We start from the raw sequence: 26,082 nt of genomic DNA on the forward strand, positions 1-26,082 counted from the left end.
AATTAAATTTTCTCTTTGAGTTTACATGGCACCCAAAGATAGGCTGTGCTTACACTACCATGGAAACAAACAATATTGCATTGTAGGTAGGCCATCTCTTCTGTAACAAGTCACCGAGGCAACCACTCTGACCTAGAAAAGAGAGACTAAATCCAATTCTCCATGCATCATGGTGCTAGTGGCTTCTTTAGGACAATTCTCCTTTTCTTTAGTTTTCAACTTGAAATGCTAGCACTTTTGGCTTATCACTTCCTTTCAACAATAATCATAGCTACCTCTGGGGTATGTGGTCATAAGCAAAACAGCCTGATCTTAGAGGGATGTTCAATTCGCACCTCAAAGTTTAGAAGGCATCCAGAGCAAATTATTTAGCAAAAGGTTTAGAAATAATTTTCTTTCGCTGTTTCTCTAGGAAGCACATGGAAGCAAATTTAGATTGTGATCATCATTGTTTGTAGGGCATATTATGCCGAGATCGTATTAAAGCCATAAATATCACTTTGGGTTTTATTGCTTTTAAAGTCTATATTGTGTTTAAACACTGTATTTAACATCTATACTGTATTTGTAAAACTTTAACATTTGCTTGTTGCAGTGTCCTGCTTCCTTTTTTAAAAAAAGGCTCTTTCCTTTTTTCTAGAATAATCGCCATTCAGTGAAAAGATATACAGATGTATTTATGAACACTGATGCATTTTTTCCCCAAAGTTAAACGGAAGGTGTCTCATCTTGTTGCTACTTGAGTTGTCGGGAATCATGTATCTTTTATAGGCTTTGTGTAGAATTTGGCATATCCAACATGCTTGACTAGTGTGAATCATGATAATGGCCTACATTGTGTCTACTATTTGCTCATAACCTACAGGAATTATATTTTGTTGAGCTGTATTTTCCAGTATATAACAATGATCTCGGTGTAGACCATCCAAATCTAAATACGTTTTTGTGCCTTTGGAAAAACCTGCTGATGTTGAAAATGTTAAACCCTGCATTCTTCTTTTGTATCAGTCAGGCCTAGAACAAGTTAGGGGACTTTTCTGTGTTGATATAGAACTGAAATTCTGATGAACTGTGGTTTCTTGCTTTTGCCCATCCCTGGATTAGGTATAATGCCTATGAAATGCTGGCCTTTTCTGGAATGGTCATAGTCAGGGAAGCATTCTTCAGTGCTTATATCACTCTGATTACATTCTGCATCACAAATGAGTGGTTTCCCTTGACTCCAGTTTCCTTATAGTCATCATGAGTGTTTCTCCTCCCTCTTTGCCCTGTTTCAAAAGCTCAGCTTCTATAATTCTCTTTTTGGTTCTGTTAAATAGTTAAAATTCTTCATCTTTATTGAGTATTTACTATGTGCTAGGTGTTCTAAATGCTTTGCATGGTATAATTCATTAGATCCCCAGCAACTTATGAGGTAGGTACTATTGTTAATCCATGTTTCAGATGAGGAAACTGAGGCATAGAGAATTTAAGTACATTGCCTAAGATTAAGGCGGCAGAACTAGGGCTTGAACCCAGGCAGAGTGGCCTTCAGAGCTTTTAACCTTGCCCTAGATTGCATTCCTTTAGTGTCTGCAAGGCATTTGGATGTGGTTCCATTTCTATGGAGTGCTGATGTCTAAAACTGATCTTCTGGGAGGGAGTGTGGAATACTGGCCTACTTTGACTTTGAGAGCATCTGAGGTCTTTCACCTAATGATTGTGTGATGTTTGGCATGTGTATTAGTCAAGGTTCAACCAGAAGAGCAGAACCAATAGGAGATATATATTAAGAGATTAATTGCAAGGGATTGGTTTATGCAACTGTGGGGCTGGTTAGGCAAGACTGAAACCCACAGAGCAGGTTGTCAGTAAAGGCAGGCTGAACTCCAGCACAGACGGACCCTGCTGTTCACAGGTGGAGTTTCTTTTTCCTCAAGGAAGACTCCGCTCTGCTTTTAAGACTGTTCAACTGATTAAATCAGGCCTACCCAGATTATCTAGGATAATCTCTCTCACTTGAGGTCAACTGATCATGGGCTTTAATCACATCTACAAAATACGTTCACAACAACACCTAGAAAACTGTTTGACACAATAACTGAGGATTGTAGTGTAGCCAAGATGACATAGCAAAGTTGCTTTATTTCTCTGAGCCTTGGTTTTCTCACATGCTAAATGGGGATAGTAAACACCATAGACCTGTGAGGATTGTATAAAATATGTAAAGCATATGGTGCCTGGCGTGTCAGGAATCAGTAAAAGATGATATTATTTGCAGCAGTGGTGGGGATGTCAGCAGCTGCAGCTGTGGTCCCACCTACAGTAGTGACGTCGTCCTCATTTTCATCACTCTCTTGGTCATTCCTGTTCATGGCAGTGGATGGCTTCCTAACTGGTATTTCTGCCTCAAACTCTTTTAATTCATCCCCATTTTTTTCTCAAGGCTATCATGAAAAGCTTAAAAGTGTAGCCCACTACTCTCCAGCTTTGAAAAATGTCTTTTTGAAATCCAGGTACAATATGTTTATAGATTTCCTCAATTGGTGCAAACTGCAACTGCTTCCCCCCAAAAATGCCCCCTGCTCACTTGCTAAAAGGTAGTGCTGGGGAGGGCTGCATTCTGCAGTGGCATTGAAATTCATTCTAGGTGTCTTTCTTTCCTTTTCAGTTTCTGCAGTAATTGAGGATGGGACATGCATGAGAACTGTTTTAAGTTCTGTTTTTTTTATTTTCTTTTATTTAAACTGACATGTAAAACACAGCTGGGCATATTATTTCACCACTCTGAGCCTAAGTTTTCTCAGCTTTAAGATGAGTAAATTGGACAGGATAATTTCTTTTTTTATTATTGTTTATTTTATTGAGACAGGGTTCACTCTTGCCCAGGCTGGAGTACAATAGTATGATCACGGTTCACTGCAGCCTCCACGCCTTGGGCTCAAGTGATTCTCCTGCATCATCCTCTGCCTCTGGAGTGGCTGGTGTCACAGACGCATGCCACCATGCCCAGCTAATTTTTGTACTTTTGTTTTTTTTGTAGAAATGGGATTTTGTCATGTTGCCCAGGCGGGTCTCCAACTCCTGGGCTCAAGCTATCTGCCCATCTGGGCTTTCCAAAAGTGCTGGGATTACAGGCATGACCCACCACACCTGGCTGATAATTTGTTTTGTTCTTTTTCCCCTCTATTAATCTTTTATTGCAAAGTAAGAAAACCAGGTATGTTTTTAGGATTTTCTCCAAATGTTTTTTAGTAATTTTTATCTTTAAGAGCAAGACTAGTTTATTTTTCCATATTGAAGCAAATATTTAAAAGGGAATAATTATAGTTGAATCAAATAATAGATTAAAAAATTAGCCAGAAAACCTTTCACTTTTCTGTTCCATCAGACGAGAGACAATGTGTGAACAAATGAATGAGCTTGGGAACCATTTTAGTCTACTGGACTTGATAACTGTTTTTGTCCTTATTCTTAACTGCTTGTCCGAATCCAACTCATACTAATTTCCCTCCCATGTTTCTGATCTTTCTGTCTTATAAACTTTGATTTACCTTCTTACTTATTCCCACTTTATCTTATCTCCTGAATGTGATGATTAAACCTTTGTTTTGTTTGTTTGTTTGTTTGTTTTGAGGCGGAGTCTCACTCTGTCACCCAGGCTGGAGTGCAGTGGCACAATCTCAGCTCACTGCACCCTCTGCCTCCCAGGTTCAAGCGATTCTCCTGTGTCAGCCTCCTGAGTAGCTGGGACTACAGGTGCGCATGCCACTGTGCCCGGCTAATTTTTGTATTTTTAGTAGAGATGGGGTTTCACCATGTTGGCCAGGCTGGTCTCGAACTCCTGACCTCAGGTGATCCACCCACCTTGGCCTCCCAAAGTGCTAGGATTACAGGCGTGAGCCACCATGCCCGGCCTAAACCTTTGTTTTTAAAGTGTTACTCCCACCCTTTGCCATGATTCTCACTTTTCCTATGTGGCTGTTGTCCACCAATGCTGAAGAAGACATTCTTTTCCCATAGTCTGCTGTCAGACCGTGGCTCCCAGTTGATGTCACAGTTTTTGAAGATATACTTTAAGACTCTTAAAATTCAAAACCATAGGTGTGTAGTTGAGATGGTTCGGATGTTTGCCCCCTCCAAACCTCATGTTGAAGTTTGATCTCCAGTGTTGAAGGTGGGGCCTAATGGGAGGTATTTGGGTCATGGGGTGGATCCTTCATGAATAGGTTAACGTCCTTCCTTGAGGGTAAACGAGTTCTCACTCTAATTGTTTGTTAAAGCTGGTTGCTAAAAAGAGCCTGGTGCACCCTGCCCTCTTGCTTTCACTCTCCCCATGTGATCTCTGCACACTCTGGCTCCCCTTTACCTTCCACCTTGAGTGGATGCAGCCTGAGGCCCTCACCAGAAGCAGATGTCCCATCTTGAACTTTCCCACTATTAGAATCATGAGCCAAATAAACCCTTTTTATTGATAAATTACCTAGTCTCAGATATTCTGTTATAGCAACACTAGGTGGACTAAGTGTAGCTTAGTGCAGTAGTCAAGTACGAGATAAACCCAACATCTTTGGCATTGAATGTCACACAGGGAAGTGATATGGCTATTTTATGTACATCAAAACTTCAAGATTACACGCTGCATTTTCTTCACTAATATGCATAAATGATCTTATTTCTCAATAATTTTGGCCTTCCCCTTCATTTGCCCATACCACCAGAGGCATTCAAAGCCTTTGATTAATACCTGGTAGAACTCCAGGATACACAGGAGGATCTGTTAGATTTTTGAGTTCCATGAAGGATTAGTCTCTTTTGCCACCATCATATCTCCAGCCCTCAGCTCAGCATCTTGTTCACAGTAGGTGCTTGAGGAATATTTACTAATTGATCTGCAGGACATTGTAGGACCACAGCTGACAAGTACCACTCACCAGGTGGCCATCCATATAGGGGAATAGACTAGCTTTTTTTTAAAAAAAATATCCTTTCAACGAGGTTGTACTGCAAACTGGAAAACTGGTTTGAATATATTCTAAGGTTAAAACATAAACATTATTCTTCTGATGTTCACACCCATGCAGTTGGTTTGTGTTTTATCCTGAGTGCCATGCCCTTAGGATCAGCTAGGAAGAACCAACCTTAGTATGTACTGTGCAGGAGATCTAGGACACCTGCCGATTTTAAGGCAACCTTTAGTACACAGTCCAGTATGAGCAATGCAAGCAAATCCACATCTTACCTTAAACATGCTCTAAAATATATGTACTGTTGCATTGAGCAATCCTGGGAGATTCCCTGGCCCATCCTTACTGGTCTGACAGACATGTCATAATCAGGTAACCAGATCCCCTGTGGCTCATTTTAAATGGTGAGGCTAGCACAGCATAATCCCTGGGGCTCTCTGACACCTTGGCATTGTTTACAGTTTTACTCCCAGACTATTTACCCCAATCCAGATTAGTTCAGTTTTCCCACCTGCTAAGTGATTGCCTGAGTCCATTCTAACCATTCATATCTCTTCCCTCGTGTCAACCTTTTACTTTCCCCTATAACTCTGCCTTGGGCTCTCACTTTGCCTATGTTGAATATGGCTATAGTGAATAAATTACCTGCTGTTCTCTCTTTGGCTTTTTTGTTCAACATGATAGCTTGGTTTGAAGATAGTGATGTTCTTGTGGTCACTTTTGCACATGGCATACTTTGGGGAGGCTTAGGGAGGAGATAGATATAATCTGAATCCAGAAATATATTGATAGGGTAGTAGCAAAATTGATAGGGTGATACCAAAGAAGATTAAACTTAACAGAAAAAAAGGTAACATTTATTTTTTTTTAATCTTAATTGACAACATAACAAAGCAGTGCAGATGTGGCTTAACTTACCTAAAGCCACCTTTTAGACTTCAAAAACCACTCCTCACTTTAAGATTATATGACTTTTCACCTATATATATATTTTCCTTATACTTTTTATGGTTTTATTTCTTTACATTTAGCTCATTCATCCATCATAAATTCATGACAGTAAATAGGAAGAAATAGAGATTTAACTTTTTCTGAATAGTTATAGAATTGACTTAATACAAATTATTGCATAATCCATCATTTCCTCAATTATTGAGTGTGGGCAGTGTGTCTGGGATTGTGTTAAGCTAGGAATAAGAACACATGGTTCCTGCCCTCAAGGAGCTGTGCCTGGTGAGGGAAACCAATTAGTAAAAAGAGAATTAAGTGAAGCAGGATGAGCTCAATGATGGCATCCATTACAAAGTGCTGCTATATAATGTCTGAGGGGCCCCAGTAGGGTGGGAGATTTTGACGTTGGGGAACAGTGGGTAGAGAGGGCTTCTTGTAGGAGATAACATCTGACTTTGTTTTGACAGATGAGTATAAACTGAGTAAACCTGCTTTGAGAACAGGGAATTCCAGGCGAGGAGAATCAGAGTCATGGGGGAACCTGAGATGATTGGGCAGCATCATGCAGTGCACTGAGGCCATTGCCTGGGTTACTAGTGAGAGTAGCATGGGATGAGGCTGATGGGGATGCCTCGTATTTCATATTTCATGTCATCTTAAACTCAGTGGGGCCCACAGTTGGGTTTAAAGCAATAGAACAAAATAACCAAACCTGTTGTACAATAATTAAATCGTTGATAGTTTGCATATTGAATATTCTCAAGCATACTACTTTTAATTCACAGCAATGATTACAATTTTGAATCATGTGCTTGTCTCATTATTGATGGTTTCATATTGGCTTCAGAAGAGGAAGGAAAAATTTATATTTCACTAATTATATGAGGAGTTCTGTGTGGAAATCTGAATTACCTGGCATTATAGTTCTGATTTAATCTTGCTCCACAGCAGTTCTGCCCCTTAATTTGTCTCAGACCTCAGTCAGTTTTAATATTTACACCCTTCAGTCTGACCATTTATATGAGGATGGAAAGGCACACTAGTGTCTGTTTGGATCTTATGCCTGGCCATAAGCTCACTATACTCAACTCAGGCAAGTAATTAATGTACTACTGAATATCTGCCCAACATAAGTTCAGAGATTCCAAAATCCTTCAACATTTATCTCAGTGTTTTCTTATAAACACTCTATGAGGTAAGTCTGGTCTTTATTCTAACTTCTATATTACAGATGAGGAAATGACCACAGAGAGGGTAAATGTTGCCTAAAGTCACACACAGTAAGTTAGGGGAACAGCTGGACAAAAATGCTCTTGCTGTGCCTGCTGCTGCCTTCTTGCCATTCAGTCCATGGTCAGCAGAGGTGGCGAGCTCCTCATGTCGGGTGTGGGACAGTGTTTTCATTGTGGCAGGGGCTTGCACCTGAGCTTGAGCTAGGCCTCCTGACCAGTGGATATTTGATGAAGTTCACACAGTTAGGAAGTTCTTCCTTTAGAAAAGTCCTCAGAAATTGGTATAGGTTGTCAAAGTCTATTTAGTCACCCCTGTGAAAAAGCAGGTGACTTTAGCAGACTATGAGGCTGTTCCTTGCCTCCAACAACAACCCTTTGTAGACTCTTTGATGCCACAGTTATTTCTAAAGCATTAAACACAGCACTAACTGATGCTTTCAATCAGTTATCAGGTATGGAATGTAGGTGATCAAAGCCATGTGGCTGCCACTTTCAAAAATCAGTATAGTTATCCCTCGCCCACAAAGGGAATCGTCTGTAGGCAGGTGATGCTTGTGGAAGGCTTTTTCTTAAGTCCCCTAAATACTTTTGCCAGGAGATCTCTCTTCCACAGTACAGGACAAGGGTCAGCCTGGGATCTTGCATTTGATTAGAAACTCCCTGTCCCGACTGTTTGGGAAAACATGAAGATGTTCCACAGAAGTGGCTCAACAAGGTCTTGTATCTTTAGCAACACAAAGTTCATAGCATCAGCTGTCCATAGTTGTTCTTTGGTTTAGAAAACAAGAAGGGCTGTGTACATGGCTCTTGGAATAGTGATATAAATTTATCCTTTCAAAGAAATGCCCAAGGTTGTGAATAACACAAGAAAACTTTTTAGTGTATTTCTTTTTTCTTTTTTTGGAGACAGGGTCTTGCTCTGTTGCCCAGGCTGAAGTGCAGTGGCTCAGTCTCAGCTCACTGCAACCTCCTCCTCCCAGGTTCAAGCGATTCTCTTGCCTCAGCCTCCTGTGTCGCTGGGATTACAGGCGCCCACCACCACGCCTGGCTAATTTTTGTATTTTTGGTAGAGACAGGAGTTCACTGTGTTGGCCAGGCTGGTCTCGAACTCCTGACCTAAGGTGATCCGCCTGCCTCAGCCTCCCAAAGTGCTAGGATTACAGGCATGAGCCACCATGCCCAGACCCCACCCACCCCCCCTTTTTTTTTTTTGAGACAGGGTCTTGCTCTGTCATCCAGGCTGCAGTGCAGTGGCATGCACATGGTTCACTTCAGCCTCGTCCTCCTATGCTCAAGGGATCCTCCTGCCTCAGCCTCCCGAGTAGCTGGGACTACAGGTGTGTGCCACCACACCCTGCTAACTTTTTGTATTTTGTAGAGATGGAGTCTCACTGTGTTGCCCAGAATGGTCTCAAACTCTTGGACTCAAGCAATCCTCCTGCCCTGGCCTCCCAAAGTGCTCAGATTTCGGGCTTGAGCCCCTGGCACCTGGCCTTATTTTTCTGAATTAAAAAAGTAATATGTGTTAGTTGTAGAAAAAGAAAAGGTAAATTAAGAAAAATATAAATGCCTTAATCATGTCTTTTATTTTCTGTATTCTGATGCTTTGATATCTGGGGCTTGCTGACTTTGCATGGACTGTCCCTCCCAGGATTAGCCAATACCTAGAGATAGTACACAATTTGCCCTTGAATGCGCTTTTCAAATATAAACCAGTCCAGAGCCCACTACCCAACCATCTCTTTTATTGAGCTCATACAGTCTCAGCTACTATCCACCTAACCTAATCACCCCAGGGCCAGATACCAGATCCCTACGTAGGGACAGCCCCTGTTCCCCAGAGTCTGCTGAAATTATTCAAAGTAGCCAATTCCAAGCTTGTTTAGCCTGCCTCACCTGTTCCTTCAGAAACCAGAATCAAGACTCTTGCCCTCAGTTCTCTCTCTTCCTCTGACTGACCCAGCGCTTCCCCTGTGGCGCCTTCAGTGGTGTGGCATGCCCACTCCGCTTGGGAACGGCGAGTAACAATCTATCTTTTCAATGGCAATAAATGTCTCCTGATTGGTTGGCCCTACTTTATCTCAAATTTCTATTAATACATTATATTGTAAAACTAAAGCAAACAATATACCATACAAAATTTAATATTTTTAGACCATTTACTATTTCATAAGTAATTTGAAAACATTGTATTTAAAGATGGCAGAGGACTCCATCATATCACTGCACCCTAATTTTTTAGCTGTTCCCTTGTTTGTCAAAGCTTTTAGGTTGTTTTCAGGTTTACACTGCTGAAGCATTTTTATTAAATTCTTTGTACAACAGTCTTTGTGTATATCTTTAATAATTTTAGGATAAGTTCAAAGAAATCAAATTGCTAAATCAAAGAACAGCATGTGTTTGTGCCCCTTGACATAATTTTTCAGATTGCCTTCTGGGAACATTATATACAATGAGCATCTCTAATCTGAAAATCCAAAATCTGAAGTGCCAAAAAATCCTAAACTTTTTGAGTACTGGCATGACACCACAAGTGGAAAATTCCACACCTGTCCTCATGTGACGGGTCACAGTTAGAATGCAGTCAACCTCAACAAACTAGGCATCGAAGGAACATACCTCAAAATAGTAAGAGCCATCTATGGCAGACCCTCAGCCAACATCATACTGAACAGGCAAATGCTGGAAGCTTTCACCCTGAGAACTGGAACAAGGCGAGGATGCCCACTCTCACCACTCCTATTCAACATAAACCACTCCTACTCAACATAGTCCTGGGCAGTCAGAGCAGTCCTAGCCAGAGCAGTCAGGCAAGAGAAAGAAAGAAAAGGCATCCCAACAGGAAAATAAGTCAAATTATCTCTCTTCACTGACAATGTGATTCTCTATCTAGAAAACCCTGAAGGCTCTGCTAAAAGGCTCCTAAGCTGATAAATAACTTCAGTAAAGTTTCAGGATACAAAATAAATGTACAAAAGTCAGTAGCATTTTCATACTGCTAAGCTGAGCACCAAATCAAGAGTGCAGTCTCATTCACAATAGCCGTTAAAATAATACCTAGGAATACAGCTAACCAGGGAGGTGAAACATCTGTACAAAGAGAATGACAAAACACTGCTCAAAGAAATCAGAGATGGCACAAACAAATGGAAAAACATTCCATGCTCATGGATAGGAAGAATCAATATTGTTAAAATGGCTATACTGCCCAAAGTGGTTTACAGATTCAGTGCTATTTCTATCAAGCTACCAATGTTATTTTTCACAGAATTAGAAAAAAACGATTCCAAAATTCATATGGAACCAAAAAAAGAACCCGAATAGCCAGAGCAATCCTAAGCAAAAAGAACAAAGCCAGAAAATCACACTACCCGACTTCAAACTATACAAGGCAGCAGTAACCAAAACAGCATGAGACTGGTACAAAAACAGACATGTAGACCAATGGAACAGGTTAGAGAACCCAGAAGTAAAGCTGTACACCTACAACCATCTGATCTTCGACAAAGCTGACAGTTACAAACAATGGGGAAATGAGTCCATATTCAGTAAACTGTGCTAGGATAACTGGCTAGCCATAAGCAGAAGATTGAAAGTGGACCACTTCTTTCACCATATACAAAAATCAACTCAAGGTGGATTAAAGACTTAAATATAAGACCTAAAACTATAAAAACCCTAGAAGAAAACCTAGAAAATACCATTCTTGATGTAGGCCTTGGCAGAGATTTCATAATGTAGTCTCCAAAAGCAATTGCAACAAAAACAAAAATAGATAAGTGGGACCTAATTAAACTAAAGAGTTTCTACACAGCAAAAGGAAGTATCAAAAGAATAAACAGCCTACAGAATGGGAGAAAATATTTGAAAATGATGCATCTAAAAAAGGTCAAATATCCAGAATCTATAAAGAACTTAAACAAATCAACCAGCAACAAACAACTGTATTAAAAAAACGGGCAAAGGGCATAAACAGACACTTCTCAAAAGAAGACATACATGCAGCCAACAGACATGAAAAAATGCTCAAAGCAGTTATCATTAGAGAAATGCAAATCAAAACCACAATGAAATCCCATCTCAAGAAAGACAGAATGGCTATTATTAAAAAGTCAGAAAATAACAGATGTTGGCAAGGTTGTGGAGAAAAGGGAACACTGACACACTACTGATGGGAACGTAAATTAGTTCAGCCACTGTGGAAAGCAGTTTGGAGGTTTCTCAAAGAACTTAAAACAGAACTACCATCTGACCTAGCAATCCCATTACTAGGTGTATACCCAAAGGAATATAAATTGTTCTACCAAAAAGACATATGCATTCATATGTTCACTGCAACACTATTCAAAATAGCAAATACAGGGAATCAACCTAGGTGCTCATCAGTGGCGGACTGGACAAAGAAAATGTGGTACATACACACCAGGGAGTGCTACACAGCCATAAAAAAGAATGCAGTCATGTCCTTTGCAGCAACACGGATGGAGCTGGAGGTTATTATCCTAGGCAAATTAACACAGGAACAGAAAACCAAATAGTGTATGTTCTCAGTTATTAGTGGGAGCTAAACACTGAGTACACATGGACACAAAAAGAGGAACAATAGACATCGGGGCCTACTTGAAGGCAGAGGGTGGGAAGAAGGGTGAGGGTTAAAAAATTACCTATTGGGCACTGTGCTCCCTACCTGGGTAATGAAATCATTTGTCTGCCAAACCCCAGCAACATGCAGTTTACACATATAACAAACCTGCACATATATCCCTTAAACCTAAAATGAGATTTAAAAAAAACCCAAAACACAGTCAACACATTGTTTTGTGCAAAAATTACTTAAAATATTGTATAAAATTATCTTCATGTTTTGTGTATAAAGTGTATATGAAACATAAGTGACTTCCATATTTACGCTTGGTATCTTACTAGGTATCTGCGGATATTCCAAAATCCAAAACAATCCAAATTCTGACACACTTCTCCTAAACATTTCAGTTAAGGGATATTCAACCTGTACCAGTTTTCCTTCCTACTAGAAATATATGAAATTATGAGGATGTCTTCTCACCCCTTCCCCTTCTGTAAGGCACCTTTGCCAGCTCAACAAATGATCGGTCTTAATTCATTAAATAGGCCAAAAATAAGATGTTTTTATAATTCAGTGATTACTAGATTAGTAGTAATATGGTCAGCCCAAATTTTAAGGAATTAACTAAAGAGACATTATGGAAGCCAATCACTGTCTTGTGTATTTCAGCACTAGGAAGTGAGGTTGACCTCACTTTTTATTTGAGCCTCATTGCCATTTCCAGACGTTATTCCTCACTGTCATTTATTGCCTTGATTTTGGTTTTCTGTTTATTGCACTCTCATCTCATACCTGTTTTAATCTTCTGCTGACCTTCAGGGTGCTGCTGCATCATATTCTTAGAGACATTTCCTCTCCTCCCCATCCCCTGATGTTACACTAGGCAACATGGGTCTTCTCTTTTTTAACACACTCTGTCCTCAATTCGCTGCAAACAGTGCTCCATAGACCCCTTAATCAGCTGGAAATTCTTCACCTCTGAATCCCCAAGTCTGAACTTCTCTCTGCAAATCATGGTTTCATATTTTTATGGCTCTCCCACTGACACCAAATTTCTTTGTCATCCTAATGTTATTTCCAAGTATTCCATCCACTTCCCAGAGTTCCTTTTTCAGCTCCTTCTGTGTGTCTCTTGCTTTCCTGCCCAGCCTGTGCTCTGTGATGTACCATTTAACTATGATGTGATAGACACCACTTACCTGTTTATCCTTTCGAACTTCTACATACTTCCCTGGGAAGTTGCTGGCCTTGGGCAACCCAAAACATCTATTTTCTCTGCTTCAGTTCTCCAGCTGTTATGTGATCATGGACAAAATCACATGCCAGCCGAGCTCTATGTCCTTGGAATCTAGCAGTGTGTGGTTTCTCCTTTATTATTTGGAATTCACAGAAACTAACAGTCTTAAAATAAAAATTGACAGAAAATGAGCCTAATGCATTTTAGTTTATGGAGCCTGAGACAGTTATGCTTTGTCCCAGGAACTTCCACCTGGGTTCCTTTCTCACCTCATATGTGAGCCTTCGCTCCCCTAAGATGAATTAATCTTAACCATCCTCAGGACTTCCCTTTTAGACATCTTGCTACTTTTGAGGCCAAGGCCAGAAGAATCAGATCCTTCTGTGATGTTTTAATATTGTATCTGAGATGTGATATTTTGGGCTCCTGACCCCTGCCTAAAATGATTTTTGGCCTTCCCTGTCCAGGCTTAGCAGCTGAGCCATATTTCCCCAACCAAGATGGAGAGGGTTTAAATTATACAGCTTGGATTACAGTCTTTATTACAGAAATAAACAGAATGACTGGCCTCTTATCTGTTTAGGCGAAGGTGGAATGCATTATGATGAAAGTTGTAGCTTTTGCTAGGAAGACTAATTTCAGAACTGATTTGCTAGGAGGGAGAACATTGTAAATGTTCCCCCTGCCTTGGTGAGGATTGGCCTCAGTAGTGAATAGGGCTGAGGCAGTCCTAGGTAACTACATTAGCTTCCCACTACCTGGAGATAAAGCTCAGACCCCTTGGTGTTACATCCAGGGCCCTCCATGAACTAGTACAATCTACGTTTCAAGCTTGATCTCACATCAGTTTTACGCTGTGGCCAGCCATACTGATCTTGCTATCCCCCAATAGTCCATACGCCTTCTTTTCTCTAAGTTGCGTGTATGTCTTACAAAAGTAAGACGTGATACTTAGAAAAGTTTGGAACAATATAGGGAAGTAGAAATGAGAAAAATCCTTTGATTGGCTACTGAGATAAAACTCCTAGTAACATTTTATTATGTGTGTTTTTTATCTCCCTTGCAAATGGCATTATTTTTGTTTCTTGTTTTTCCATAGTCTTTCATCCTCCTTTTTAAAAACTAAACATTACGTAAGCATTTATTTTTTATTTCCATAGGTTTTGGGGGAACAGGTGGTGTTTGGTTACATGAATAAGTTCTTTAGTGGTGATTTCTGGAATCTTGGTGCACCCATCACCCGAGCAGTATACACTGTACCCAATGTGTAGCCTTTTATCCCTCACCCCCCCACCCTTTCCCCTCGAGTCCCCAAAGTCCGTTGTATTATTCTTATGCCTTTGTGTCCTCATAGCTTAGTTCTCACTTATGAGTGAGAACATGTGATGTTTGGTTTTCCATTCCCGAGTTACTTCACTTAGAATAATTGGCTCCAATTCCATCCAGGTCGCTGCAAATGACATTATTTCATTCCTTTTTATGGCTGAGTAGTATATGTATTTTATATATATCACAATTTCTTTATCCACTTCTTGATTGATGGGCATTTGTGCTGATTCCATATTTTTGCAATTGTGAATTGTGCTGCTGTAAACATGCATGTGCAAATATCTTTTTTATATAATGACTTCTTTTCCTCTTGGTAGATACCTAGTAGTGGGAAAATAAAATACTTAGGAATATACCTAACCAAGGAGATAAAAGACCTCTACAAGGAAAACTACAAAGCACTACTGAAAGAAATCATAAATGACACTGACAAATGGAAACACATCCCATGCTCATGGATGGGTAGAATCAATATTGTGAAAATGACCATATTGCCAAAAGCAATCTACAAATCAATGAAATTCCCATCAGAATACTACCATCATTCTTCACAGAACTAGAAAAAACAATCCTGAAATTCATATGGAGCCAAAAAAGAATCCACATAGCCAAAGCGCAAGACTAAGCCAAAAGAACAAATCTGCAGGCATCACATTACCTGACTTCACACTATACTATTAGGGCATAGTCACCAAAGCAGCATGGTACTGGTATGAAAATAGGCACACAAACCGAAGGAACAGAATAGAGAACCCAGAAATAAAGCCAAATATTTACAGCCAACTGATCTTCGATAAACAAAAACATAAAGTGGGGAAAGGACACCCTTTTAAACAAATGGTGCTGATATAATTGGCAAGCCACATGGAGAAGAATGAAACTGGATTTTCATCTCTCACATTATACAAAATCATCTCAAGATGGATCAAGGACTTAAATCTAAGACCTAAAACCGTAAAAATTCTAGAAGATAACATCAGAAAAACCCTTCTAGACATTGGCTTAGGCAAAGAGTTCAAGACCAAGAACCCAGAAGCAAATGCAACAAAAGCAAAGATAAATAAATAAATTTATTTTTTATATTTATTTATTTTATAAATAGATGAGACTTAATTAAACTAAAAAGCTTCTGCACAGCAAAAGAAGTAATCAGCAGAGTTGATAGACAACCCAGAGAGTGGGAGAAAATCTTCGCTATCTATACATCTGACAAAGGACTAATATCCAGAATCTACAAGGAACTCCAACAAATTAGTAATAATAATCCCATCAAAAAGTGGGCTAAGGACATTAATAGACAGTTCTCAAAAGAAGATATACAAATGGCCAACAAACATATGAAGAAATGCTCAACATCACTAATGATCATGGAAATGCAAATCAAAACCACAGTGTGATACCACCTTACTCTTGCAAGAATGGTCATAATCAAAAAATCAAAAAATAATAGATGTTGGCAGGGATGTGGTGAACAGGGAACACTTTTACACTGCTGGTGGGAATGTAAACTAGTACAACCACTATAGGAAACTGGAGATTCCTTAAAGGGCATTTTCTGTATTTATAAAATTCATAATCATTTTAAATGATGGCATAGGATTTTACTGAATGCATTTGCTACCTCCTATTCATAGTGTTCTCGAAGCCTAAAACACCCATCCAGAAAAATGTGTTCAGATGTTACTCCCTTCCCCCAAACAGAATTAAGTGCCCTTATCTCTGTGTTCTTGCAGCACAAACTTGTACCTCTATCTAGGTCTAATTTCATTCTGTATTTGGTTAATATATCTATGCACTTATACATGCACAAAAAATATACAGGATTATAAACTTCTCGAGGGTAGGTACTAAATCTTAACTTTTTAAGATATCTACCACCTGGATTAGGCTCTTAAATACTGTGAAATAATAAAATATTTTTTATCTCTGTTGCGCAAATTTTTTAATGTAATTTATGTGTAATACTATCTATACATGGCATTGTTCTTGAATAGTGCCAATTAATACTTAATTTCTATCCATCATGTGACTAAGGATCTTAAAGTAATGTGTCAATGGTAAGCAACAGTATTTGGTTTCCGTTGTAACGCATTACCACAAACCTATAAAACAATAACTGCTTGTCATTCTAGAAGGCTTTCCAAGATGCCAAATCCTGTACCACACAGTGCCTTTTTTCCAAAGCAGACAATCAAGTGTCTTTTTTCTTCTGTGAAAGAAAAATGATATAAATGAAATAATTGAAATAATGGTAGAAAGTACGCCTCCTTGTTTGTGAAGTAGGGATAGCAGGAACTTCCATGTTCCTTGTTGCAAGAACAATGAAACACAGTGTGGCCTCAGCTCAGGAAGGTGAAACTGGAAGTTCTGATTTCACATCTTTCAGATTCTCTTTTGGATGTCTGGGGTAATAAAGTGAATGTAATTTATTCTTTGAATAAACCCTCGGTACTTACTGTGGGGCTGGGCATGGTGGCTCATGCCTATATTCCCAGCACTTTGGGAGGCTGAGGATCGCTTGAGCCCAGGAGTTTGAGACCAGCCTGGTCAACACAGCGAAATCCTTACAGAAATTTTTTTTAAAAAATCAAATGGGTATGGTGGTACGTGCCTGTAGTCCCAGCTACTTGGGAGACTGAGATAGGAATATCGCTTGAGCCCAGGAGGCAGAGGTTGCAGTGAGCCATGATTGCACCGCTGCACTCCAGTATGGGCAACAAAGCAAGACCTTGTCTCAAAAACAAACAAAAACTTACTCTGTGTCAGGCACTGTGCCAGGATTTAGGGATAAAGATAAAGAAGTCTGCTGTGGTCCTCAAAGGCTTTGCAGTATTGGAACATATAGCCTTATGGAGGATCTCATAAACCTTTCCTCTGCCACTTCTGTTTATTCCATGAACTGAACACCATTTGGAATCTGGAGGAGCAGGATCTTAATGAAGCAATAAATTCAAGCAAATTAGCTGGGTGTGGTGGGTGTGCCTGTAGTCCCAGCTACTTAGGAGGCTGAGGTGGGAGGATGGCTTGAGCCCAGGAGGTGGAGTTTGCAGTGAGCTGAGATTGTGCCGCTGCACTCCAGCCTGGGTGACAGAGTGAGACCCTATTTAAAAAAAAAAAAAAAAAAAAAGTACTAGCAGCAGTAAAATGTAAAAGAGAAGGAATTTAGCACTGAGAAGGGCACAGCATCATTTTTGTGGTATTCTTGACAAATATGCACAATCTAAATTTAGTCATGAGGGAATATCAGACAAACTTAAGCTGGAGGACATTCTAGAAAATAACTTCCCAGTACCCTTCAAAAGTCTCAAGAAAGACAAAAGAAGCCTGAGGAACCATTACAGATGAAAGGAAACAAAGGACAGGTGGCAGGTGCTAAATGCATTGTGATCCTGGACCAGCAAAGGACATTAGGACAATTGACAAAATTTGTATAAGATCTGTCAATTAGATAATAATTGTGTATCACTGTTAATTTCCTGATCTTGATAATTATGCTGGGGTTAAGAATGACATTATCATTTGGGGAATATTATTGAAGGGTATATGGGAATTCTTTACACTATCTTTGCCAGCCTGAAATTATTTCAAGATAAAAAGGTTAACAGCTTTATAATTAAAAATAAAGCAACAACATTAACTCAATGTTGTTTTCCTGACACCTTAGGCATCTACAATGGCTCACCAACAATGTTGATGCATTTTTGCTGGGCTAGTTACTTAATTAGCATCAGTAACCTTCTGGTTTTCAAACAGATTTGTGTACATTTTCTTATTTGATTCTGAAACAAGCAAATGTGGTTTGCGGGAAATTTCTTCCATCTTAAAGAAATAGGGTTGGTTATGTTAAGTGATTTGTCCAAAAAAAAAAAAAAAAAAAAAACAGTACTAACAAGGTAGTGGTTAGATGGGACCACAAAGATTTTTCCGGGTTTGGACTCTCAGAAGTTAAGAATTAAAGGCCACTTTCATTTCTCAAGGAAGTAATTTAAACGTTTACACAGAATAAATTATTTTTAACCAAAAGTTATTTACAAGATAATGAAAATTTACACAAATTTTAAGATATAGCACACTATTGGCTACGAAAGTAGGTAATGGAACAAAAGTTTTAAACTTTTATGAAAAATGAAAGAAGCCATTTTGCCGTGGCTTCTGTGAATCTGTGTGTGCATGTGTGTATACCCAATGTGTATTCTCTTTCAACCACAATGCCAAATTCCAAATTTGAACCCATTTGTAACTATGAGCCTAAACCAAGTGGCTACTTGGCTTCCCTTGGTTATGACTTCCAAACGGCTGCTCATTTCCCGTAATTTATTTTCCTCCTTGAGGAATTGATACTAAATAGTAGACCTTTGAAATATTGCAAGATTGATTATCATCACCAGGGAGACAGACAGAGTGGAGTGAGATTTAATGCTAATCTCATTTTAAGTAAAATCACAAACTTTCTTTGTAAAAAGGCAATCACGATATCTTCGTTTAACCTAAATTCTGTATTATTTTATTGAGTGTTAAAGAACACATATTACATTCACCACTGAGAAGTCACTCAATTTGGCAAGGAAAGACAATATCAAAACATTAAGTCATATACTTCCAAAATGAGTTATATAAAAGCAGAGCTGAACTTCAATTCCTAACACATGGTCTCATCTTCTGCAGATGTATATGTGGAGGCAGAAAGTCAAGTAAACTGGAAAGTTAAAAATGAAATTTTTACTCCTTAAATTATGAGTCACCTACTAACAAAAATAAGAATCTGCAACATGGAGATTATTTCCAAAGAACAGATCCTTTCAGCTAAAACTAACTAGTCTCACTAACCCATATTTTCCTTTTGCTTACAGAAAGCCCTCTGTTTTGAATATACTTCTACTGACATAGAGTCAATGGAACATAGCTAATTATAAGGCAATACTCCCCACCCATTAATAAAGACCCTTAAAGCTTCAGATTTTTATTTTGTGAAGAGAAGATTATTCTGCCTGCCTAAAGATAATTCACATTCCTTATTTAAAGGTTAATAAGGAAGTAGGATAGAAACATGTGAAGATCATGCTTCCCAGAATGGGAGGCAAAAAAAAAAAAATCTTCGTTTTATTTCTGTCTCTGAACTTATGTGAGGGAAAGAATGTACTTGCAGAGTGTGTGTTGGAAGTAGGGGGAATGGTTGAGGGTCTGGTATTATATATTCCAGGGTATGCTGTGGTTTAACGGGAGTGAATTTTTCCTTTTGATTTGTCATTTGATGAAATAAATTCCCTGCACTTTTTCTGTGGAGACAGATGGTAATCTGTCATTCAAAATCCATTAGAATGAAGTCTAGGAGCTGAAGCCATATTTGATCTCATGTGGTAGGTGGTGATCCTGAACTGGTCCCATTTAGAGAATCCAGGCCTAGAAGTCTTGGGATGTTGTAGACTGGAAACTTAATTCCAAAGTGCCTCACGATCACTGGTAAAATTATTCTCCCCACTTCTTTATTGTGAGATCTATTATACCTGTGAAGATGGTAAAAATAATGTGTACTGTTTAAAGAAGAAAGATAAGACATTGATCTGTGAAAGAGGTAGAACATGAATTCCTTAGAAGTCCCTGTGTGTCCCTCATGGTCACACCCCCCTTTCTTTTCCCGAAGAGAACCACTGTTCTGACTTTTGTCTTAACTACCCCCTTGCTTTCTGTATAGGGAGATATCTCTATACAAAAAAAATTTCTAAAAAACCCAAATATTCCTAAAAATTGATTAGTTTTACTTTTTTTTTAGTTTACTTGTTTTTGAACTTTATATAAATTTTTAAAAACATGCAATGTGTTTTTGACTGTGACTTTTTTCCCTTCAGCATTATCGGTTTTTGTTGTTGTTGTTGTTGTTTGTTTTAGAAGACAGGGTCTCACTCTGTCACCCAGGCTGGAGTGCAGCACACTCACTGTAACCCTCAACTCCTGGACTCAGGCAATCCTCCCACCTCAGCCTCTTGAGTAGCTAAGACTATATGTGCACACCACCATGCTTGGCTAGTTTTAAAATTTTTTTGTAGAGACAGCATCTTGCTGTGTTGCCCAGGCTGGTCTCAAACTTCTGGCCTTACGTGATCCTCTTACCTTGGCCTTCCAAGTCTTCATGCTGGGATTACAGGCATGAGCCACTGCACCTGGCCAGCATTATGTTTTTTGATTCATCCATGTTGAGTATAGCTGGACTTCATTCATTTTTGCTGCTGTTAGTATTCCATTCAGTAACTAAGCAATGTACCCATTTTGCTGATGAAAATTTCAAGTTTCCAGTTTTCTCAGGTTTTCATTGTTGTTGTTCAATTACAAGCAATGTTGCTAATGCATTTCTTATACCTGTCAGCTAATACACAGTAAGAGTTTTCCATATACCTAGGAGGGGAATGCCAAGTCATATATTATATATGTGTTCACCTTTATTAGGTAATGCAAAAATGGTTTCCAAAGTGGCTGTAGCAACTTACATGCTTGCCAGCAGAGCATGAGCGTTTCCATTGCTCCTCATCCTCACCAACACTTGATATCATCAAATTTTTCAATTGTAGCCATCATATATTAGTATATCACTACAGTTTCCTTAGGATTTTCCTGGTTACCAATGAGATTGAGTATCTTTTCATCCATGTGTTGACAACTGGAATTTCTTTTATGAAGTGCCTATTCAAGTTATTTTATCCAGTTTTCTATTGAGAGTCATTGGTCTTTTTCTTATTGATTCAAAGCCATTCTTTATATAATCTGAATATTAACCCTTTGTTGTTTATATGTCTAACAAATATCTTTTCCCAGTTTGTGGCTTGTGGTTTCATTTTCTTTGTAGTGTCTTTCAATCAACATTAACTTAAAGATTGTCACATTTAACAATCTTTTCCTTTATTGTTTTTACATTTTATGTCTTGGGAATTTCTTTCTATGAAATAAAAATACTCTCCCTCCTTTAGAGTTTTCTTAGTCCATTGATGCTGCTATAACAAAACACCTTAGGCTGGGTAATTTAAAACAACAGGTAGTTATTTCTGACAATTCTAGAGGCTGGGAAGTCCAAGATCAAGGCACGGGCAACTTCATTGTCTGGTGAGGGCTGCTCCATCTGCTTCTACGATGGTATCTTCTTGCTGCATCCTCACTTGGCAGAAGAGGCAAAGGAATGGACGGGACAAACTTGTCCTCTCAGCCCTTTTACGGTGGCACTAATCCTGTCTATGAGGGTGGAGCATGCATGACCTAATCACCTCCTAGTGGCCCCACCTTTTAATATTGTTGAACTGGGAATTAAGTTTCCACATGAATTTCGGAGGAACACAAACATTCAAACCATAGCAAAAGTTTTCTGTATTCTGTTTTTATTTTTTAAATTTAGGTCTCAAATCCAACTGGATTTGTTTTTGTATTTGGTGTAACACAGGGAGTCCCGTTTCATCTTTTCCATAGAGAAAACCAATTGATCCCGGACCATTTATTAAAAAGTTATTTTTTTTCCCCACATTGATCTTTTACCACCTTTGATATTTAGCAGATGTCCATATATACATGTCTGGGCTCTTTGTTCTCTTCCATTCATCTGTCTATCCTCATACCAGTACTACACTGTCTTAATTACTGTGTCTTTACAAGTCTTGATATCTGATAGGACCAGTCTTCCCACCTTTTGCTTGGTTATTCATGACCCATTGTTCTTCTGTATACTGTTCACATAGTTGTATATTCCACTTGAAAGCTTCCACCAAAAAATTATGTATTTTGAGAGGAATTACACATCTATTTTAGGATAATTTACATCTTTAGTATATTGAAGCCTCCAATTCAAAAGCCTGGCATATCTTTCCATTTGTTTGGATCTTTTAAAATGTTTTAAATAAAGTTTTAGTTTTTCCCTAAAGACCTTATACATTTATTAGATTTATTCTTTAGATACTCTGTATTTTTGAGATTATTATAAATTCTATCTTTTAAATATCATTGTCTTACTATTTGTTACTTTGGATAGAAAGGCAATTGATTTTTACATATTGATTTATATACAGCCAACTTGCTATATCCTCTAACTTTAATGATTTATATGTTGATTATTTTGGATTTTCTATGTAGTCAATCATATCATTTCCCAATAAGAGCAAAACAATTTTATTTCTTAATTTTATATTTCATTTTCCTTTTTCTTGCCTTACCCTACTGTGAGCTCTTCTAATATAGAATTAAGGGTGTTCTTGTTTCTGATCTTAAAAAGAACACTTTCAATATTTCTTCACTAATATTTCTACATTTCCTGAGATGATTGTATAGTTTTTCATTTATCTGTTATTGTGGTAAATTATATTCATTAATTACTAATATGAAGGCACTCCTGCATCCCTAGGATGAAACTTAGTCATGATGGATGATTATTTTTATTCATTTCTGAATTTTGTTTGATAATGTTTTGTTAAGATTTTTGTATTTTTGTTTGTGAATGAGATTGGCCTGTAATTTTCCTTTTGTACTGTCCTTGTCAGGTTTTAATATCAAAATTATGTAAGCCTCCTTGACAAAGAAAAGTTGGGGGTCAGGGTAGTCCCTCTTTTTTTCATATAGTGGAATAGTTTGTGTAAGGAAGAATATAGGAATATTCAGGTTTTTATTTATTTTTGTTTCAATTTCGGTAAGTTAAAATTCTATAGAAAATGTTTCATTCCATCTAAATTTTTAAATATTTAGCATGATTTTTAATGGTATTTTATTATCTTTTAAATTTCTAGGGCATCTCAATTATGACCCCAAATTTTTTTTTTGTACATTTTTTTCTTTGAAAAATCTTGCCATAAAGTTGTTAGAGTTTACAATCATCTGGAAGAAACTTTGTTTAGCTTTTTAAATCTACACTCTTATATGTTTATATTCTATTTCATTATTTCTGGTCTTATGATTTTCTTTCTTCTAGTTCTTTGGATTTATTTTACTGATCTTTTTCTGATTTCTTAAATTATTTACTTATTATATTTCAATTTTTCTTTTTTTAAACATTGTTAAAATTTCATGCTAAGTAATGCTTATGCATTGTGTGACATTTTTATTAATACTTAATTACAAATATTTTGTCATTTTACATTTGAATTTCCTCTTGCCCCATGAATTATTTGTGGGTTTCTTAATTTACAAAGATATAGGGATTTTCTGGTTATCTTTTTGTTCCTGGCTTCCAACACAATTACACTGAAGTCAGAAAATGTTTTATGTATGATATCAATTTGTCAAAATCTTTGAGACTGGTTTTTGGTCCAATATATTGTCAGTCTTTATAAATGCTCCATAGTTGGCCAAAAACAATTAACACTGGTGTTTCAAGCTACTAGGCATAGTGCTCCATATATGTCTATTATATGAAGCTTGCTGATTGTGCCAGTTAAATCTTCCATATCATTATTTTTACTACTTGATCTATCAGTTACTGTTAAAGATGTGTTAAAAATCTTCCACTATTATTGTAGACTTATTACATTCTCCTTGTAAATATTGTTATATATTTTCAATCTGTGTTATTAGGTACAAATTGCTTTAAACTTTTTATATGCATTTTAATATGAGAAATATAGTTACAGATTCTCAAATTTAGACTATAGGTTATTTTGGTTCAGTTATTCTGATTTTTATATTTTGTAAAACATTTAATAAACCTCACTTGAGACAAAAAGGATTTTTTAAAATCACACTTAGCAATTCAGAGTTAAAAATATTGATATCTCTTGACCTTGTTAACCCATTTCTGGGATAGTGTCCAAAATAACCAGAAGTAGATAAAAAGCTTTATGTACCAAAGTATGTATTTGTACTGGCAAATAAAATAAAATTAAATGTAGGTTCTAACAATAGGAGAGTGGTTAAATAACTGGACACAGCTACATGACAGTGTATTATACATCCATTAGAGTCATTTATAAAGAATTTGTAATAAAACTGGAAAGTTATTATGTCACAATGACACATAAATCTGATGACAGTCGGCCCCTCTTACCCATGGCGGATACATTCTGAGACTCCCCAGTGGATGCCTGAAACTGCGGATAATACCAAGCTCTACATTTATGAATTTTTCCTATACATACATACCTATGATAAAAGTTTAATTTATAAATTCAGCATAGTAAGAGATTAACTACAATAATTAATAATAAGGTAGAACAATTATAACAATATGCCAGCATCATTACTCTTGTGCTTTGAGGCCACTATTAAGCAAAATAAGGGTTCTTTGAACACCAGCACTGTGGTACTGCAACAGTGGATCTAATAACCGAACCAGCTACTAAGTGACTCGCGGGCAGGTGACATATGCAGCGTGGATATGCTGGACAGAGGGATGACTGTGGTGTGAGATTTCATCCTGCTACTCAGAACCGTGTGCAGTTGATAACTTATGAATGATTTATTTCTGGAATTTTCCATTTAATATTTTCAGACCAAAGTTGACCACGGGTAACTGAAACCACAGAAGGCAAAACTGCAGATAAGAGGGGACTACTGTATACTGTATGATTTCAATTACCTTAATGATAACTATAGAAAAAAATTCTCAGAAGAAATATCTCAAAAGGATTGTAACATTGGTTTGTGTAACATTGGGAAAAAATTTGGATTTCCCCCTTCCTTTCTATTTTTCTGTGTTTTCTGTGTTTTCTACCATATTCAAATTTCTTTTACAATATAGGGGGAAAGCCTTAAAAACATGGACTAACAAATGCTTATTTAATTAATACTTGAGTGTACACAATTAGTCTTTCATTCTGTGTTATGTTGGTTTTGGCTGGTATATATATTTAAAATGTGTCTATATATATATAATGTGTGTATATATATAATGTGTATATATAGATATAATGTGTGTGTGTGTGTGTATATATATATATATGTATACACATTTTTTTTGAGAGGGAGTCTCGCTCTGTTGCCCAGGCTGGAGTACAGTAGCATGATCTCAGCTCACTGCAACCTCTGCCTCCCAGGTTCAAGGAATTCTCCTGCCTCAGCCACCCAAGTAGCTGGGATTACAGATGCCCACATTGTGCCTGGCTAATTTCTGTACTTTAATAGAGATGGGGTTTTGCTGTGTTGGCCAGACTGGTCTTGATCTCCTGACCTCAGGTGATCCACCCGCCTCAGCCTTACAAAGTGCTGGGATTACAGGCATGAGCCACAGCGCCTGGCCTTAGCTGGTATTTTTTAAATATCAAGATAGAAAAGTCATTTAAAATGTGTGATATGGATATGTACAAAGTAAAAGTTAATGTTTAAAATAAATGTCTTGTTGTACTCTGCTGCCCATAGGTAAAGTGTTGAGAGAGGAGAACCAGTGCATTGCTCCTGTGGTTTCCAGCCGCGTGAGTCCAGGGACAAGACCAACAGCTATGGGGTCTTTCAGCTCACACATGACAGAGTTTCCACGAAAACGCAAAGGAAGTGATTCAGACCCATCCCAGTAAGTGAATTTGGTCCTCTAACCCAGTGAGATCTTTGACTTTAGGGAGAAGAGGAAAATATTCCTTTTAAAATCATTAATTATTTCCAAGTTCATGGTAACATTTGGAGATGGGAGAGTACTTATCCACCCATCTGCTACCTTTGTCGGTGACTGACTTGGAACTTTTCCATCCAGCTCTGAAGAAAGGTGTCTAGGAGGGTCAGCTGGAGTCAGAAAGAGACATAGGAACATGAGTTTTATTTGGTTAATGTTTATGGTCATGGCAAGATACTTGCCTTCCTTATTGAAATACTTATAAACATGAGGAAAACACCTTGGATGTTTGATTTAAA

At 37.9% G+C, this 26,082-nt stretch overlaps 1 protein-coding gene across 16 annotated transcripts in view, besides 1 other annotated feature; it reads left to right on the forward strand.

Annotated features, from left to right (window-relative positions):
• BMAL2 (basic helix-loop-helix ARNT like 2) overlaps nucleotides 1–26,082 on the forward strand; it is a 92,451-nt gene that overhangs the window by 9,830 nt on the left and 56,539 nt on the right. For all 16 annotated transcript variants that reach the window (NM_001394524.1, XM_011520768.3, NM_001394525.1 and 13 more), the window contains exon 2: nucleotides 25,597–25,747. In NM_001394524.1, coding sequence (NP_001381453.1) covers nucleotides 25,597–25,747 — 151 coding nt within the window. The remainder of the gene's footprint in view (nucleotides 1–25,596; nucleotides 25,748–26,082) is intronic.
• Nucleotides 7,864–8,033: an enhancer, noted in NCBI's record as "experimental_27082 CRE fragment used in MPRA reporter constructs". NCBI's record gives its function as "activates a minimal promoter by MPRAs in K562 erythroleukemia cells, with activity observed for both the introgressed and non-introgressed 12:27503547 variant alleles {active_cell/tissue: K562}" and the evidence as "EXISTENCE:reporter gene assay evidence [ECO:0000049][PMID:34662402]".

The sequence above is a fragment of the Homo sapiens genome, chromosome 12 (genome assembly GCF_000001405.40).
Source record: "Homo sapiens chromosome 12, GRCh38.p14 Primary Assembly".
In the NCBI taxonomy this organism is placed as follows: domain Eukaryota; kingdom Metazoa; phylum Chordata; class Mammalia; order Primates; family Hominidae; genus Homo; species Homo sapiens.